General features: G+C 47.3%; 2 long non-coding RNA genes across 2 annotated transcripts; both read left to right on the forward strand.

Moving 5' to 3' along the window:
* The first annotated feature begins 10,305 nt into the window (after positions 1-10,305).
* LOC105371738 (uncharacterized) lies at positions 10,306-14,195 on the forward strand. Its single transcript, XR_934687.3, has 4 exons — positions 10,306-10,421; positions 12,307-12,363; positions 13,165-13,228; positions 13,625-14,195. It is a non-coding gene; the product is annotated as an uncharacterized LOC105371738 (long non-coding RNA).
* A 1,582-nt stretch (positions 14,196-15,777) lies between these two features.
* LOC105371739 (uncharacterized) lies at positions 15,778-18,231 on the forward strand. The gene is made up of 3 exons (XR_934688.2): positions 15,778-16,016; positions 16,313-16,404; positions 17,574-18,231. It is a non-coding gene; the product is annotated as an uncharacterized LOC105371739 (long non-coding RNA).
* Positions 18,232-19,019: the final 788 nt, after the last annotated feature.

Genomic DNA, 19,019 nt, shown 5'->3' on the forward strand with positions numbered 1-19,019 from the left:
CCCATGCCCACCATCCAGGACTTTAGGCCCTATCGCCCTCAGACATTGTCTACCTGGTCCCTGGTACAACACATCTCGCTCCTCCACGACAAGCCTTCCCTTTACAAAGGATCTGATTGCTGTGGGTCAGTAGTTGTTATGGCTAAAGTAAAAAGGGTGCATCCTCTGGTGACAGTCCAGCCACTGCTGTCCCATAGGGAACGTTGTTGGTGGCCTGCCATCCATGTATTCTTGGGAAGGCCCTTCCATTCTTCCTCTTCAAGGAAGCTGCCCCTGCTCCACCTGGCTCAAGCACCCTTCCTGTGCTCCCAGGTCCCCCCGCCACCTCCGTCACAGCACTAGCCACATTGCTGGAGTTGCTGAGTCTCATCTGCCTTCCTCACTTGAGTGGGATCTCACAGGAGGGGGATAAGTCTTCTTTATCCTCCCATCCCCAGCTCTTCGTGTGGGGAGCCACAGAGCAGGCTCTTGGTGTCACCCGTGCTGTTGTTGTTTAAACATCTTGATCAAGGAAGGAGTGTGTCATTTTTCAAATAATCTCGCAGACAGCTGGGGAGGGTAAAAATAAGTCTCCCCAAAGGGCACAGAGGATGAGGGATGTGCATCAGGCAGTCCCTGGCAGGCCTGTGGGGGGCACAACACTGGCTAGACGAGCTGGTCCGAGACTTTGAAACTCAATGTTCTGATTCACTTTGGCAACCCCTGGCTGTTTGTCGTGCCAGGGAAGTTATTGACATTGAAATTGAAATTGAAATTGAGTTAGGAGAGGGGAGGGAGGCCTGCAGGAGCCATGCAAATCAGGGTGAGAGAGATGGAGACATTCCTATTCTGGGAAGCCCTTTATTATCCCACGTTCCCAGCTTCTGTTTATTCATAACCTGTTGCCATTAATTGGCCTTTCTTCTTTCTCCAGCTCCAAGGCTGTGGGATAGGGCCTTAAGATCACTTCGTCCAACCTCCCTCCTAATTACAGTTCTGTCTTTGAGCATCTACTATGTGCCAAGCCCTGTGCAAAGTGCTTTACAAGGGTTATCTACAGAAATCATCACCTTAAACATCAGTCCATCTCAACCTTTCCAGTCTTACTCTCCCAGGGCAGGAAACACCCCGCCAAAGCAGCCCTGACAAGTGGGTGGCCAGCCTATAATTGAACAAGTTCCGTGACAGGGAGATCACTACCTCACCAGCACCCCACTTTGTTTGTTGGACAGCCCCATGGTTACAAAGGTTCTTCCTGAGCTGAAATGTGCCTCTTCATCTGTTGTCATGGGTACTGTCCCTTCTCCTGCTACTCCTCCCAGAGCCTCCATGAGGGACACCACTGTCAGTGGTCATGGGTGCAGACAGACAGTGCTTTGCAGTGGGATGAGCGGTGCTCCAGGCATCCCCCTAGGATTGGGAAGAACTTGAGTGACCCTGTCTCAAAGAGGACAACCCAACTGTCAGCCCTATGCATGCGCACATGTTCCATCCCCCATATGTGTGCTCCCATCTGTCATTCTCCTTCACTCTCATTTGTCACCTCTCTGTCACTCGCACATCATAAAATGGAGCCCAGGTGCAAGAGAGTCAGCTGCAATCAAAGCAATAGGAAGGCAGATTGCTGCAGACTGACAGACGGACAGGAAGTCAGGCAGGCCTCTGCAGAAACACAGGCAGCAGGCAGGTAACAAACCTGACAGTTTTTTTCCCTGGGACAGATGGACAGACAGTTGGGGCAGACAGACAGAGCCAGGCCTCGAGCAGGAAGAAAGTCAAGCAGACCTGCAGATGGGCAGCAGACGGTCAGGCCCCTCTGTCTGGGAAATGGGCCCTCGCTTTGTGTGCTGAGGTCCCGGGCTGCTCTCCTGGGCTCTGAGCCCCACCTTGGCTGAGAAGTTCTAAGGAGAAGTCTGAGAACAGCTTCTGTCACATCACAGAGGGGTCAGATTCCCCACTGAGGAGAGCACCCTCAGTCCTTCCTCCTCCCACGCTCTCTACCCTCTTTGGCAGCAGCCTCCATGCCCATCGCTGTGGCCTCCTCATCACAAAGCCAGGGAAGGGGCCAGAAAGAGAGTCTGTATCTCCTTCTGGAAGCTTCCACAAACTGATCACTGGAAGCATATTCTTTAAAAGAGAGGAATTAAAGGAAATGAGAGAGATTATTAAGTATGGTTAGCCCATTTGAGGCAACAGAATGTCAAAGAATTAAAATGATTTACCCAAAGCCCTTCAGCCAGCCAGGGGCAGAGGTGAGATTTGAACACTGGTGCATGTGACCTTGGAAGTTACAGTCTTCTCTCTGCTCCCAAAGCCATCTCCAGAGGACACCCGGACTTCTTCTGGCTCCACGTACTGGGTTCCCTCTGTTTTCTCGGGAGGATGAGGTAGTCATGACAGATGGGGTGATTTATGTTCTGAAGGAAGTTCCCACTAAAGAAGGCTATGAATTGGTCCAGAAATAGCAGATGATGTCAGCCAGGGCATCCCGCCCTCCCCAGGCCCTTGGCATCATCCTCATGAGACCGTCACAAGAATTGATGTACCAACAATTACAGAGATTGGATTTGCCCTTTCCTGGCTTGGCCTGCTCAGACGTCATCCCTGGTGTTCAGGGAACACCTGTCTATTTGCCCAGCTCCCTCATCATCATGTACGCCCTCGTCCCTTCCCTAAGCCTGGGAAGAGAACATCAAGAGGCAATATTGTATTCCAGCAGCATCACCCAGCACAGCACAGTTTCCATCCTGAGCCACTCGCCCTAGCCCTCTTTGCACTCCACACTTCCAAACGTGTTGCTAATCTTCTTAGTGCCTAACGTCCTGACTCTTTTTTTTCACCTATAGCCTCACCTCTGGCTCAAACCCAGTGCTAGGCACTCTAGCCCTTTTGCTTTCTGCATGACCTTGGCTTGGATTCTTCCTCTGGCTGGGCTGTCGTCGTGTTTAGGATACAGGCAGTGATGTGCTGGAGCCGGCCCCTACCAGCTCACAAGGGCCGAGTGTGCACATCTCTTTTATCTCCATGCTCAGTGGTTTCATGTTAGTGGATTGCAGTTGGTTGTGGTGGGAGCATTTACACCGGAGAAACTGGCAAACCCTACAAATCGGGGCTTTCTGCTTGCAGGGAGCCAGCTGTTAAAACATTTACCAGCATAAAGGACTCGGTGAAGGACTTGCCCAGCGAAGTCCAGCCACAGGACTCCACACTTCAGCACAATGGATGACAGTCCCGATACTTCCTCCAATCCCAGGCTCCAGACAAAACAGCCTGGCCCCAAACTACACATTAAAAAAAGCTAAAGCTAAAATAGGATCTAACACAGGTCACCTAGTGGGTCAAAGGCAGGGCCGGGCTGTGGTTTGGGACCCTCACTCTGCTGACAAAGGCCTCTCACCCCCTCTCCTCCAGGCTGTGTTCCAAGAAAGTAGGGGTAATTTCAGGTCAGAAATGGCAGGATCATTCTGGCTTTGATCCTGGTCTGAGCATTTGGGGGGTCCCAGCTGAAATAGTGTAGGGTAAGCCTTGAGATGGTGGGGAGAGGGAGAGAGGTCCTCTTCTGTCTGGCAACCAGTACCAGGGGGCCTACCCACAGCACCCTCACATCTCTCTGCTGAAGGAACAACTAGAAAGGACTGGCATTGCCCCTCCCAGTCAAGGCAGTTATTGTGTAATCCAAGAGCAAAAACTAGGGGGGTGGAAGATGGTTGTGGGGACAGTATGGGGCTGGAGAGGCCCTCATGAGATGCAGGCAGCCCATCGACAGTGTCCTGTGTGGAGAATCTAGCCCATTATAAGGGGTGGTGGCAGAAGATGCACAGATGGAATTAAGGTGATGGGAGCTGTGGCAAGATTTGTCTGCCTGACTTGTCACTGCAGCCTGAGAGCAGGATTTGGGCTCCCTGGAGAGCCGGGGATGGCACACACTTACTCCCACACACATACACACTCACATGTGCAGAACTAGTCTCACAATTCCTGGGGCAGGCGTCCATGCCACTTCACAGCAAGCTAGACATCACACGCCCTGAAGCACATTCACAAGCAGACACATACAAACATGTTTGCACCCAAAAGTGTACACTTGGAGAAATGCACATTCACTTGGAGGTGTGTACACACATACACGCATGGAGAATATTTTGCTCCTAATCAGCTTCTTTAAGCTGTCAGACAGAGGCTGCCAATATCCCTGCATTTCTGCAAGAAACCCTTCCCTGGCCTCCTGGCTCCAGTCTCATGCACTCCATTCCAACCTCCACATGGGAGTCACATTCATGCTCCTGAAACATGATCCTGATCTTGCTCTTCTCTGGCATGGAACTCTTGCTTTCCTATATGGAAAGAGGACATTCAAGGGCACCTACTGGCTCCAGCGTCGGAACCCAGCCTGGCATGCAGAGCCCTGTGAAATCTGGCCCCTCCACCTTCCTGTATATCCCCACTATTCCCCACCACTCACCTCTCACCATGCCTCTGGTGCTCTTCCTCTAGCTCCCTATGGCCAAATCCACTGCAGGATTATGAAGACCACTGCTTCAGGGATACACTCAGACATGCCCTAGAGAGAGGTGATCTCTCATGGCTCTGAACAAGTCCATGGCCTCGTCTGTCCTCTTTTGGGTCCTGTGGCTATGTCCAGCCTGTCTGAGAAAGTGGTGACCATGCCTCACCTTACCTGCTGCACTACAGGCTTCCCGTAGCTCATTTCCTGTCTGTCTGAGATTCTGGCACATGGTACAACCTCAGAAAAGGTTTGTAGGCAGCTAGGTTGGACCATTGTCCTTTCTCAGTCACCTCCCCTGTCGCCTTCTCTCTTTTCTCCTGTTTATGGTGGGTCTGGAGCTCACTGCTAGAGAAAGTTCCCTGGAAGTGAAGCTCCCAAACTTCCCACACCATGCCAAGAGAATTCAGGAAGGTCTGTCAGTCACCCACTGCATGCAAGCAGTCCTCAGGCTAGGGGAGTCTCTAGGGGCCATTGAGTCCATCCGTTTCGTATGCAAGCATATAGTCGGTCACTAAATCTCAGAGATAAATACAGATTCTCCTGCCCTACTCCCAAACATCTGTAGGCCGCTCTGGAAAGCTTTCTTATTAGAACATTCTTTCTCATGCCTGACTTCAGAAGGTAAAAAATTGTAGCATAGGGAGTGGCTTTATGGTCAGGCTCTCCTCCCATTCCACGCCTGCTCCACGAATATCTTCAGGGAAGGTTAGCTCACTCCCTACAATACTGAGCACCTCCCAGCAAAGCTCTCTTAGCCCCCTTGTGAGGCACTGGATGACCCATTCAACCCTCTTAGGCCACAGCAATCTCCAGCACCCTCCAGGACAGAACTCTAAATATTTTGGCAAGAGACAGTCCTGTATGTTCACACAACCATTCCCCATAGGATGTGGATTCCATTCACTCCCCCTTTTCTGAGCACCTTCCCATTGGCTGCACCTTCCTGAAATGCAGAATTTAGAATCAGCCTTGCCCCTGGAGACCCAGCTCCCTTCCTATGCCTTCACTAAGCCCTACCTGAAGGTCTCAACCCGCTCTGCCTGACCCCAGATCTTACCTCACCTATCCCTCTTGTTCCAGTCTAGCGCTTTGCTCCATTTCTAAGTAGTTCCCATGAGATCCCAGCAGGGAGGTATTTCTTCCCCTCAGGGAAAGAGCACTGGGTTTGGACTAAGGCAGACCCGACTCCAACCATGAGCCTAGTTGCTGACCCCGTGCGACCTGAGATGAGGTACTTTACCCCTCTGAGTTCATCTTCTCTTCTGCAACTGGAACAATAGCCTCTTCATTGCTGAGTGTTGTGGTATTGAATAAAGCCCCCAGACAATGCCTGGCCCAGATATACATTTGACATCACCCCCTTGTCCCTTCCAGGAGTGCTGGCTTCCACTGGGGATCCCGGTGATGCCAGCTTCCCTCCAACCCTAATGGAATGAATTTAGCAAGCATCTGCACAACCCTCTATCAAGGGCTCTGCTAAAAGCAAGATTCATAATGTCTAATATGTTCCCTTCATCTGCTAAGTTAATAATTCTGCTAAAACATGAGCTCATTTGGTCCACAATTTGCTTCCCAGAGGCCTAACGCCTCCTATTGCTCATGACTTCATTAGCTCTCCGATGCACACATTCTCTACCCGCCCTTGTTTTTAAGAAAGCAAAGCTGGATATGAGCAACTGTAATGGTCCCAAGCTCCCTTCCTTTCCCTCTCCCCTTTGTGCCTCTCCTTTGGAAGGTGAGGGTAGGCATGTTCTCTCCTGCCTTCTGGTTTTTCCTTGCCTCTCCACACTGGCTGTGGAGACGGGTTTGTGCCCTTTGGGCCACAGCCTCAACATCCGGGAGGACCAATAGGTTCAAATTGTAAGGATACAGAGTTCAGGTGAGTGTGAAGACAGGCTTTCCCCGCAAATTGCGCTTTCCTCAACCAAGCAACATCAAGCATAGTTGTGAGTTCCTTGGGACTGAGATACCACATTAAAGGTGTCAGGAATCCTTCAGGGCAATGCTTTATTTTTAAATTTTTTTATTTTTAAGAGATATGACTATTAGGCCTCTTCACTTCCCCCAGCTACCTCTGGACCACACTTCCATCACTTTCTCAGCTCTAGCCTCACTAGCCTTGGGCAACAGAATTTTTAACCTGGTGTCTGCGAATCCCTAGGGGATTGATGAATGGGCTTCAAGGAGTCACTTATCCTCATGAAATTGAATACAACATATTCTGTGTGTGTTCATATATTCAATCTCGAAGCCTTTATCAAAGTCTCAAAGGGGTCTCTGGTCCAAGAAAGATTAAAAGCCAATGCTATAAAACAGTGGTAGGTAAAAGGCAAGATCAGAAATGGTTTTGAGGGCCATAGGATCCCAACTACTCAACTCTGTTGCTGTAGTGCAAAAGCAGCTGTAAACAATAGACACATGGATGTGGCTGTGTTCCAATAAAACTTTCTTCCTATAAGCAGGCATCTGGTCAGATTTGGCCCACAAGCCATAATTTGTTGACCCCTGCTAGAGGTAAAAATTATTGTTTTGAGAGGGAGTTTACACTAGGTAACCCTTTAGATTCCTCCCAACTCATTCATTTATTCACTCATTTTATTACATATACTGAACCCTTGCTGTATGCTAAGCCTTATAATAAGCACAACAGAAAAATAAAAAGGAATAAGAAACAATCACTGCCCTCAAGAATTCCACAGCTTAACTGGAGAGACATGCATGGAAACAATTGTCAGTCGGTGTGATAAGAACTGTAATAGAAGCTTGTACAAGAGAGTAGTGGCTTAAAGGAGACCAAAGATGCTTGATCCACAGATACAAGGATGAGGAGAATTTTCCAAGTAGGTGACTGGGAGAGCACTCCAGGTAGAGGAAGCAGTAAATTCAAAGGCACTGAGACATGAACCACGTTTGGGTAAGTGTAAGGTAGGCAGCCTAGAACTAGAGTGTGGAGTGCAGGTAGGTGTCAAAGGGGAGGGGAAGCTAGAGGAAAAGACAGAGTGATATCATAAAGGTCTTTTAATCCAAGCTCAGAAATTTAGATTTTATTCTGATGGCAAAAAGAAGCCACAAAAGGATCCAACCATTGACAGTTACAGTTCTTTAGTGAAGTTGTAGCTCCTAAGTGAGCATATATGTGTAATTTGTCCTCTTCTCTTCTTCTGACACTGGTAAATTTGGTATTCACTCAAGTATTACTACTATAAGTCCTTTGATTTCCCTAATTCAAGCCAAATTGCACAAAGCCAAAATTTGGTGATGGTATTAGTCTTCTCATGCTGCTATGAAGAAATACCTGAGACTGGATAATTCATAAAGAAGAGAGTTTTAATTGACTCACGGTTCTGCATGGCTGCAGAGGCCTCAGGAAACTTACAATCATGGCAGAAGGCATCTCTTCACAGGTCAGCAGGAGACAGAATGGGTGCCAGAAGGGGAAATGCCAGATGCTTTTAAGGCCATCAGATCTCGTGAGAACTCACTCACTATCACGAGAACAGCATGGGAGAAACCTCCCCCATAATTCAATTACCTCCCACCGGATCCCTCCTGTGATATGTGGGGATTATAGGGATTACAATTCAAGATGAGATTTGGGTGAGGACACAGCCAAACCATATCAGTGAGGGAGGAATTTTCCTCCACATGATTGGAAAGGAAACCTATCTTGCTGAAATGAAAGCCTAGTCTTCCTTCCTTCCCTCCCTCCTCCCCACCCACCCTCCCTTTCTTCCTTCCTCTCTCTCTGTCTTTCTCCCTCTCTGTCTTTCATTTTGGCCTTTTATCAGTTGGATTGGGGAGCTCAGAACAAGGCTAGCACAATGTCACCAGGAAAATGTCCATAAAAATGTAATCAGAAGGAAGCAGTCCCATTAATAAGAGCACATAGCTTACTGGGACAACATTAAGTGCTTTTAAGACTTTGAAGTGAGTCTTTGCTTCTCTCTCGGGAGTATCTTCATTTACAAAGGCTCCTAATCTTGGAGAGGTGTGGACAGAGGTAGAGGCAGGAACTAGAAGCCGTGTAATTGTACTGGTCTGTGACTACTTATGGGCAATCTAAATCTTTGAGACAATAGGAAAAAATATAGCAACCACTAAGTGTAGCTACAAGCCATACTGTCTCCTCTTTCCTCAGCTGGTCCATTTCCAACAGGAATCTAGGATATCAGATCCTCATGCTATTTCATACTTTAATGTATTTCTTATCTAATTGTTGGCTCCATCAGGGTAGGGGCTGTATCCATCTTATATTTCCAGTGGTCATAATAATCTTGCACATAGTTGGTACTCAATTCATGTGCAGCTTGCCTTACCCCATTAACTTCTAGGGCCAGTTTATGACTTTAAGATCTTAATAAAGCACAACCCATAGGCTCGGAACCCTAGCATGTGGGTGGGTGAAGATCTGGAATATCAGCTGCACACCCCCCCTTCCAGCTCTCCATGGCTAATTCTTCAATTACTCATTAATGCTATTTATCAAGCATTTCCATTTCTGTCTTCTAGGCATATGGTAGGATTGCTTTTCCTCATCTTCTTTTTATTGGAGGTATCATGTGACTAGTTCTGGCAAAATGATTGTAAGCAACAGTAATCATGTGACTAGTTATAGCCAATAGATTGTGAGCAAAAGTAACTCTGTGACTAGTTCTGGCCCATGAATTGTAAATAAAAGTATCCATGTGACTAGTTCTGGCCAATGGAGTACGAATGAAAATATTACTTCTGGGCTAATGGCTAGAGTGAAACCCTCTTCTCTCTAACACAGTGACTGGCAATGTTCAATGCTCAATCAACTTACATGCTTCAGTGACTAAAATGAGCAGTTTCCCTGCCAACCCACGTAGACATGTAGCATGAATGAGAAATAAACCTTTGCTGTTTTCAGCTACTGAGATCTGGGACTTGTTTGTCACCATAGCACAACACAGCCTTAATCTATCTTGTCATCTCCTTCTAATTCCTCTTTTTTCTTCCACTTGGTCCAGCATTCCAAGATCTCTTCTTTCCTTAGTTTTTTATCTCACAAACTTGATCTTCTCTTCTCCATTCAATTATCCATTTCTTTAACAAACATTCCCTGAGCATCAGCTCCAAGGAGACAGAATATGAAGAACTAGAGAGATGAACCAGACATGCCCTCAGGAACTCACAGTCTAGTGGACCCTGCCCTGGCCTGGGCAGGTCTCCCCACTCCTAGTAAGTCCTGTGTCTGTTAATCCAATGCTCTAATCACTGGCCATCTGGCTCGTCCTTGAAGAGGAAGGTCAGGAAGCACTTACTACCCCGACCATGGTCCTCCATCACTACCAGGACCTCCCTTGGAAGAACTTCCTTGACTGTGTGGCTGGATGGCCCAGGGGCCTGGATCCATGCACAGAGCACTCTGGAATCCCACTGTGATGCCCTGTGGCAGAGCATGGAGCTGCCTGTAAAGTCTTTGATTCTTTTATTGGTAAAGAAACCAAAATACAGAGGGACAGCAATGATGTACCCAGGTCACCCAGTCTCAGGATCACAGGGTCTGGGACTAGAATTTAAGACTCTTGTGCCCTTGAAAGAAAGAATTCTGGTCTTGAGCCTCAGTCTACTCTCATAACAGTGAAAGGGTTTCCAGGAAGCTGTAAGAAACCATTAGACCCATGAACTTAAGAGGAAAGCCACAGGGATGTACGGGTGGAGGAGTAGGAATTGGGGAAAAGAAGATCGTCTCACTCATGGGAGGGGCCAGAAGAGGGGCTAGTGTGATGTCACTAATGAGAGTAAAATGAGGAAGGAGCTTGGCCTACCTAAGCCATTCTCCTGTCTCCAAGCAGGTGAGTCTACACCCCTCTGGGCTACCACCCCTCACCTCATGCTGTCTCCTGAAAAGGACTCTTCCCCTGGACTGAAACAGGCTTGGCACATCACCTACAGGTATCTGGGCAACCAGGTAAGTCATCTCCCTTCAAATACCTCCAATCCCTGAGATGAGTGCATTTAGATTCGAGGAGGGAGGACAGGAGTGGGGCATGAGGGCCAGATTTGTGTATTTCAGCTCCTCATACTCAGTGTCTTCCTTGTGGTGGCCGTAGTCTTGGCCTAGGCACCCTGTCAACCTGCTCCCCTGGCCCCTGGCTGCCTCTTATTACTATCATTCAAACAGGGGTAAAGTTATGTAGCAAGGTGACCCTGTCCCTCCATTCTGAGGTGGATGGGGAGGCTGGAGACTAAGTAATTAACACACAGTTGGGAGTAAAGGTGCCCAGGGAAATTTCCTGCAGAAGCCAAGCCTGGCAGACGGGAAAGCTCAGCAGGAGCAAGGCAGTGAGGCGGGGCATGGGGCTGGGAAAGCCATGGGCAGCCTCTTTGCACTTTGCCTACTTTTGCTCTGGTAAGAAGCTGTCATGGTGAGGGCAGTGGGGGCCAGGGAGAGGGAAAGTGCAGGGTGCTGGACAGAGAGAGGAGCGGGACCCAGGCCTGGAGAGAAAGGTCATTCTCCTCTGGGTTCTTTCCTGAAGAGGGACAGCCACTACAGTCCTTGGACTCCCAGCCAGGCCATGGGCCTCCTGGCTGGAGGAGTAGGCTTTGAGGAGCTCAGGAGGCTTCTAAACACAGCACACACACAACATGCACATGCAACATAGCAACAACAGACATGAATCACATAGATTGGCAAACAGCAACACACAGTACCATGGCAGGCACACATGCTCAGCCACACGCGCCACACACAAGCAGCAAGAAGTTCACAAGCATGGTCACACATGCAGGGGCACACAATAGCACATGCACACACACATACAGCAACTGCACCCAAGATTTCTTCCACATTTTTCCAAGGAACTGGAGTCTGGAAGCCAACTTCTCAGAGAGAGGCCCCTCACTTCCCTGCCTCCCTTCTGCGTGACTTTACTCCTAGAATCCAGGAGGGGCAGCTGTGAGCCTCACTCCAAAGAGACTGACCAAGCATGGGACCAGGTGTCCAGAGACACAGGTCCGTGCCTGGCTCTGCAGCCCTCTGTCTGGGAGACCTTGGGCAACTCATAATGACTCTGGCCACTTTCCTCATCTGTCCAAAGAGTAAGAGTAAGAATAGTGCCTATTCATGTGATCTCTATTAGGTCTGTAAAAGCACTTTGTAAGTCACAGGCTACCTAGAGATATGACTCCCCAGACTAGGGTGCAGAGCCCCACTCTCAGGCACACACAGCCCTCCAAGAACTCCCTGCTAGGCTCCTAATAACATTCCAGCCAGCCAGGTCTGATCCCAGTTACCCTCAATACAAAAACCCATACCCACAAAGACCTTCTCATTCTAATTTTTGCTTTGTGTCTAATACTTGCTCATGTATTCATTCATTCCGCAGTTACAGGATGCTAGATACAAGGTGCTATGTATGATACAAAAATGGGCATTGCCTGACTTTTGCTCTCAGGCAACTCATGGTCTAGCTCAGCATTCTCCATCCTGGTTAGCAGTCAGAATCCATGGCCTGGAAAGCTTTTAAAACAGCTGGGCCCTATCCCCTGGGATTCATAGTCATTTGATCTGGAATGGGGCTCAGGCATCCATGTTCATTAAAATCCCCCCTCCCTATCCCATCCGGTGATTCTAATGCACAGTCGAGACTAATACCCATCCAACTAGTGGAGAAATTAGACATACACCAAAAGACAGAATGGGACGTTTTACAATGGATGGACACACAATAATAATAGCTAACATTTACTGAGTCATTTTTTGCAGGTGCCTAGCACTGTGCCAACTCATACATTAGCATATTTAGTCTTCCCCAAAACCCAGTAAGGCAGGCCCCATTCTGCTCATTTTACAGATGAATAAATGAGGCTCCAGAGATGAAGTAACATACTCAAGGCAAGACTTTGTAAAGGTAACATTTATGCTGAAAAGAAGACAGAATTTTGCCCTAGAGAGACAGAGAAATGGAAGAATGGGCGTGTTCTCCACCCTGGCTGTCATTAGAATCTATGACCTGGAATGTGTGGGGGTGCAGTCAGTGGCCCTGCTGAGCGGGGCACTGGAATTCTGAAGGGGACTAGAGGGAGCTTAGGTCACAGGGGCTGACAGGGGCCAAACGATGGGAAGATAACTTTTTATGGCAAATAAAACATAGAGCTACTTTACCCAACAGATAACAATTATGTACCTGTTGTGATTATCCCTGGAAGTAGCAGGGATGAAAATAGAATGTCAAGATAGAATCAGAGACAGTGGACCCAGAAGGAGTTTGCTGAGGGGCCGGGGGGGATTATCCTTAACTTTTTGAGCACTGGCAAATAGAAATCAGCCACCATACATCCTTTATTCAGAAGCAACAAAGTGTGAAAAAGAGAGCTTTGAACTGGGGGTCAAAGGCCAAATTCCATATTTTTTCCTCTCTTAACCTGGGCTTCATCATTTGTAAAATGAGGGCAGGGATTGTTGTGTCTAAGTGGTTTTCACACTGAGTTCTGGCAGCCAGTGTCTCAGGGAGAAGCTGGTGAGGGTTGAGGGGTAGCAAGCGGGGGTCTCTAGGCCTCATCCTCTCCAGCTGGGTAGCTCTGCTTTCCTTGGCTTTACACGTTGGCTGTCACAGAAAGTTTCCTTTGACCTGGAGGTTCTGCAGCTAAAACAGTTTGAAAATGCAGCTTTGACTTCTAGTTAAAGATGGCTTTATCTCCTTTCTCCCTAGAAGCCCCTAAAATGATAGCAAACTCTGCAGGGGCTCAGGCCTTGAAGACACCAGGTGCAGGGAGGTGAGAATGACACCTGGAGCTGCAAATGAGGATGAAGTGGAAGTCTGAACAGAAATCAGTGGGAGCCTCGGGCCCTCCTAAATCATAGAACTCTTCACTGCCATTTATAGTGGGGGAGAAATTGTGATAAGCAGGGGTTGGAGGGGAGCTTAAAATGCCAGTATGCTCTTCAATGGCAGGTGCAGGCTCCCCAGCCAGCACTCTACCCTATCCTTTCCACAAGTTTCACTGCTAAACACAAAACTTCCAATGAGCTTTTCAGAACCACTCATGTATTTGAGAAGAGATATTTTAGATGTGCGCTGGGGATGCTTCCAGGCATTTTCCATATAGTAACTTTTCTCATCCTCCCAACAAGTCTGTGAAGTAGGTTTCTATTTTGTTCCCATTTTACAGATGAGTACTTTGAAGAAGAAAGAAGCCAAGCCCAAGTACAGTTAGCCATAGAACTGAGCTCCATGCCTATGCACTCTGCCTCTAGACTGATGTAGGGCAAGTGAGCCCCCAAATTGGGACTTAGACCGGAAGAGTTCTTGGCTTCACCCAGGAAATAATTCAAGGGTGAGTCGATGGTTTAGACAGCAGCTTTTATTGAAGTGGCAGTGTATGGCAGCAACAGTAGTTTCCATGCCTTCTCCATGAGAAGAACATCCCTGGGCTAGCTCACTGGTCCCACGAGGAAGGTGTGAGACGTTTGGAGCAGAGTTAAAGTCCGCCAGCCAACACTACCCTAAATCAGCCATCTCCTACTCTGCTCACAGATGTGTAGGTAAGCCCAGTCAACTCTAGCAATGCCAGTCAAACAAGTTCAGCATAAATTAGTGTCCCTCAGGCAACCACAGATCTGTGAGTATAAGTAACCATGTCTTAAGCCACTGAGTTTGGGGTTGGTTTGTTATATAGCATTATTGTAGCCATGGTTAACTTATGCGAGTAACAATCCAGGAACTGGTCCCCAATTAATGGAGAAAATACAACAAAGGGAATTATCAAAGAAATAATTCAAGGCAGTTTCCTAGCACTAAAAAATATGAACCTTCAGATTAAAGGGCCTACCAAGTGGTCAAAACAAGGTAAATCCTCTTCAAAACAGATTATTGTAAATTTTCAGAACATATAGACACAGATATGATTCTAAAAGCTTCTAGAAGGGAAAGTAACAGGTTTCATACAAAGGACTATGAATCAGATGGTTGTAGGACTTGTTGAGTGCAACGCTGGATACTGGGCAACAGTGAAACCCTGCCTTCTAAATTCTTGGGGCAAACTATTCTCAATATAGAACTCTATAGCTAAACACATGATTAAAACATAAGTTGAGACTTTAAATATGTTCTAGATGTGTAAGGATTCAGAGAATTTACTTTGCAGAGTACCAGAGGATATGTTTCAGCAAAAATTAGAAGTAAACCAAGAATATAGAATCCAGGGGATTCAACACGGGAGAGTAGCAGAGGAAATTCCCAGGACGTGAGCTTCGCAGCAGGCATAAAGAGTAACAGGCCAGGTTGAAAGAAGAAATCCAGAGCCCCAGGAGGGAAGACTCCAGGGAAAGAGGAGAGACTGATAGATGCTATGATGTAAGACAAAACTTATGAAAATAATCTTAATAATAATGGTATGGCAGATATAATGCAACATTTGGAAACATTTAAGAAAACGATGCAACTGAAAATATGGAGCAATTATTACCTCTGGGTATATTTATCAGGATAGTTGATGCTAGATGTCGCAATAGATATAAATGTTTATTTCCCTTTGTATCACAATCTAATAAGGAGGCAGTCCTTCATTTTGTGTTTGTACAGCATGGAGCCCACAACATGTACAAGCTCCTTGCTAGGGAAGAGAAAGATGGAAGAGCCACACGGGCTCTTAGCTGCCTCAACTCAAAAAGATCATTCTAGTCACATGGCCCTAACCTAACTAGAAGGGAAGCTGAGGAATATAGGGGAACAGGTAGATATTCAATAGGCACTACCCGTATTCGCCACACTGAAGGGGGAAATGTATGGGAAAGAAAATATAATCAGAGCCCATTGCTTAACTCTAGAGTGAGCCTCATTTATACATTTATAATAATGTTCTTGGTTTGACTAAAAGTTGCAATAGGACTATATAAGGAGGAAGGGGACAGAAAGGTGAGTAACAAAGCAAAATCTGTGTTTACTATAGCAGGAAGTCAATAGAGGATGTCTAAAACTGACAAAGCAGAAATAGCAGAATATGCATATTATTTAGAAATATGAACACACAGAGCAAAAGAAGCAGCTGAAAGGGCTAAAAATGTGTTGTCCCAGGAGAGCAAGAGTAGCAGTAGGAAGGTTGGGGGGAAAGATAGTGCTTTTTTATTTTAAGTCTTTTGGCATTAAAAAATTTTTTTGTTTTTCACATATCTTATTTGGGCAATTTTTAAGGCAAACAAAAAACTAATGATAAAAATGCCCTGCATTCTCCAATAATTAAGACTTGTTCAGTTCTGACCTCCTAGGGTTCTTGAATTCTAAGCATCCATTGTGTCACAATGCAGATTCATCTGAACACAAACTGTCATAGGCCCTGGGTTGGAGAAGTCAAAACAAAGGTCACCATGTTGTTCTGAGCCTAAGGGGTCTTTGTGAGATCTTGCACTACAAACTGCAGCCAAGGGGATCCCGAATGGGCAAGACTTGATCCTCATACTGGTGAAACCTCCTGAGTCCCCAGGGACCCTGTCAGACCAGGCTCCAGCCTCCCTGCGGTCTCTGAGAGAGAATGTGGCTAGTTCTGCCCCACGGCTCCCTGGCAGGTACCACGGGCATCAGGTGTAATGAGAAGTGACAGGCGCAATTGCTGGGGGAACATCCCAGCTTAGAGCTGAAGTTGCCCAGAGTAGCTGGAGGGCTTTTCCAGCTGTCAAGAGGGTCCCCAAACACTTGGAGGCTGCAGTCAGTCTGGTTTTCAGCATTAGCATCTCATTAGCATGGGCTGAGGCCAACCTGGGGCCCGGTCAACAGCCCAGCTTTGTGTGGAGGGAGGGGAAACCAAGAACCCAGGTGGACAGAGGGGAGGAGTTTAGCAGTCTCACCTTGCTCCCTCGTCCAGTCCAGCGGTCAGAAGTGGCCACGCAGAACCCAACATTCAGCCTGGGTGCAGACACTGCCTCTAGCCTCCTCCCCAAGCACTCTCCTAGTATGGTAAGAGAATAAACTGAAGTCCCTAGAGGCCAAGGGTCTCACCTAAGTGGTCATATCCTACAGTTTTAAGTCTGGAGCATTTCTCCTTATAGTTTCTCTGTCTAGAATGTTCTTCCCCCATTTCTTCAGCTAAATCCTACTGCTCCTTTAATATCTGGTCGTAGTTTTGCTGCCTTTCGAAGTCAGTTGACTCTAACTAGGTCACCCCATTTCTGGACAGCATGGGTACAATATCACTCACCTGATAGAAAGAACATGAGGCTGTGAAAAGTTTTTGCATACATTCAGGAGGGATTTTCAGCCATGCCCACCCATCCTCTTTGGGCTTATTGACTCTTCCCTGCCAGAAGGAAAGGCAGTTAGGGAGCTGTAGTCACCAAACATAGGAGGAGAGGACCTAAGTGCCCACCCCACCTCCATTCAAAATGTACCTGGGCCACTTCTCGCCAAGTGCCCAGGGAAGGAAGGTTGGTCAGCTGGTGCAGAGAGGTGTATATTGGACAACAGCAGGGCATAGCTGGAAGGAGGGGACCTGGGTTCAAAACAGATTTTGTGACTGCTGCCATAGAACCTCAGCTAGTTCCTTCCTGAGCTAGTCCCTCAGCTTCTTTGACCATGGAAAGAGGCGCCAGATGTGACATTCTCTTGGGGGTCTTCCTGCTATGACAGTCTGTGACATGGGGCTGGCTGGCTTTCTTTCCCTTTCTTTCTTTCTTTCTTTCTTTCTTTCTTTCTTTCTTTCTTTCTTTCTTTCTTTCTTTCTCTCTTTCTTTCTCTCTTTCTTTCTTTCTTCTTTTTTTTTTTTTTCAAGACAGGGTTTCTCTCTGTTACCCAGGCTGGGGTGCAGTGGTATGGACACAGCTCACTGCAGCGTTGACCTCCTGGGCTCAAGCAATCCTCCCACCTCAGCCTCCTGTGTAACTCAAACTATAGGCACACACCACCACGCCTGTCTAATTTTTGTATTTTTTGTAGAGACAGGGTGTCACCTCTTGCCCAGGCTGATCTCAAACTCCTGGGCTCGAGTGATCTACCTACCTCAGCCTCCCAAAGTGTTGGGATTACAGGCGCAAGCCACTGCACCTGGCTGAGACTTCTTGATACCCATTTCCGCTGATATTGAGATGCCCACAGCTGATAGGTCTCTGTCTCCATCGTCCTGTTTCCAGGCAAAACAGCCCTTGAGAGATTGCAGAAAGCCATCAACCTTGAAGATAACAGGAGCCCTCCCAAGGAAATGTGTTCAGGAGACCTTCTAAGACCATGCCATTTCCTGGGTCCCTCTCCCAGTGGGGAAATTCTCCCAGTAGCAGATTCTGGCAGACAGCAGAGACACACTCTATGCCCAACACTAGGCACCGGATGGATGAGATAATCATAAATCCACAAACTGCAACAAGATAAAATTATCATTAGATGAAGTTAAATTATTAATTAGCACCTCCAAAAAAAGACCGGCACCACCTGGGCTTGAATCTTGGAAGCTGTCTTTCTGAAAGCAAGAGAAACATCAAAATAGTTTATCGATGCTCTGTGGTGTGGGTATAGCCTATGGTTCCCAGAAGCCTGATGGTCAGAGGTCCCACCAGGCAGGCCTGCCCCGCCTGCCCTCTTCTTGCAGTGTTGCCAGAAATAGCCAGTTTGGATAATGTTACTAGGGAAAGGGAAGCAACTAATGTGACCCATTTTTATGACTGGAGAAACTGAGGCAAAGGACGAGGCAGAAAGGCCACAGAAGATGGCTCAGGGTGGGCTGAAGAATTTGTGTACTGGGTTGGGAAGGGGTAGGTCCTCAGATTGCCTGATTATCTAAGGACTAAGGAACACTCATTCGTTCAGTGCACTGCTATTTTGTGCTTACTATGTGCCAGGCACCCGGAATACAGAGGAAAAAGCCATAATTCCTTGTCCTTAAGCACAATGTCTGATGGGCTAGTCTGATGAATCAGCTGTTTCTCCTCTCTGCCTCCCCAGCCTCAAGTCCTAGGACTTAGCCTCTTTATCATCAGCCTTGTTTCCATCATTGTCATCATCATCCACTACCACCACCACCAACTCCTACAACCCATATTTATTCATTGAATCCTGGAACCACAGCAGCTAATGATGGGGGAGGAGGCTTTAAAGACCATCTTTCTAGCCAGAACATCAATCCTTGCTACAGAATTCCGTGTGAATTGTGATCCAGTAGAACACTCCCAGCAATAAGCAGCTTACTCACTGCCTCATAAATCAGCCCATTGCATCTCTGGAGAGCAATTCCTCACTCATTCATTTATTCATTCATTCAACAAGCATTTACCAAGCATCTACTAGGAGCCACCTCAGTACTAGTTCTTGGAGGTACCTAGTAAAATGTGATCCAGTACCTTCTTTAAAAATCTCCCAGGATGATGAGAAAGGCAAACAACCAACCAAGCAATGACAATCCAGTGTGGTCTGGAGGTTGAGCACTCATTCCACCCCAGCACTGTAGACGTCTGATCTCCATTGCTCTGTGCACAGCAGCCCTGTGAGGCAGAAGCCATCGCTCTCCCCATCTTACAGGTGAAGAACCTTCAGCACAGGAAGATTAAGTAACTTGCCCAAGCTTAGTCAGCTGTAAAGTAGAAGGG

Source organism: Homo sapiens, chromosome 17 (genome assembly GCF_000001405.40).
Source record: "Homo sapiens chromosome 17, GRCh38.p14 Primary Assembly".
In the NCBI taxonomy this organism is placed as follows: Eukaryota; Metazoa; Chordata; class Mammalia; order Primates; family Hominidae; genus Homo; species Homo sapiens.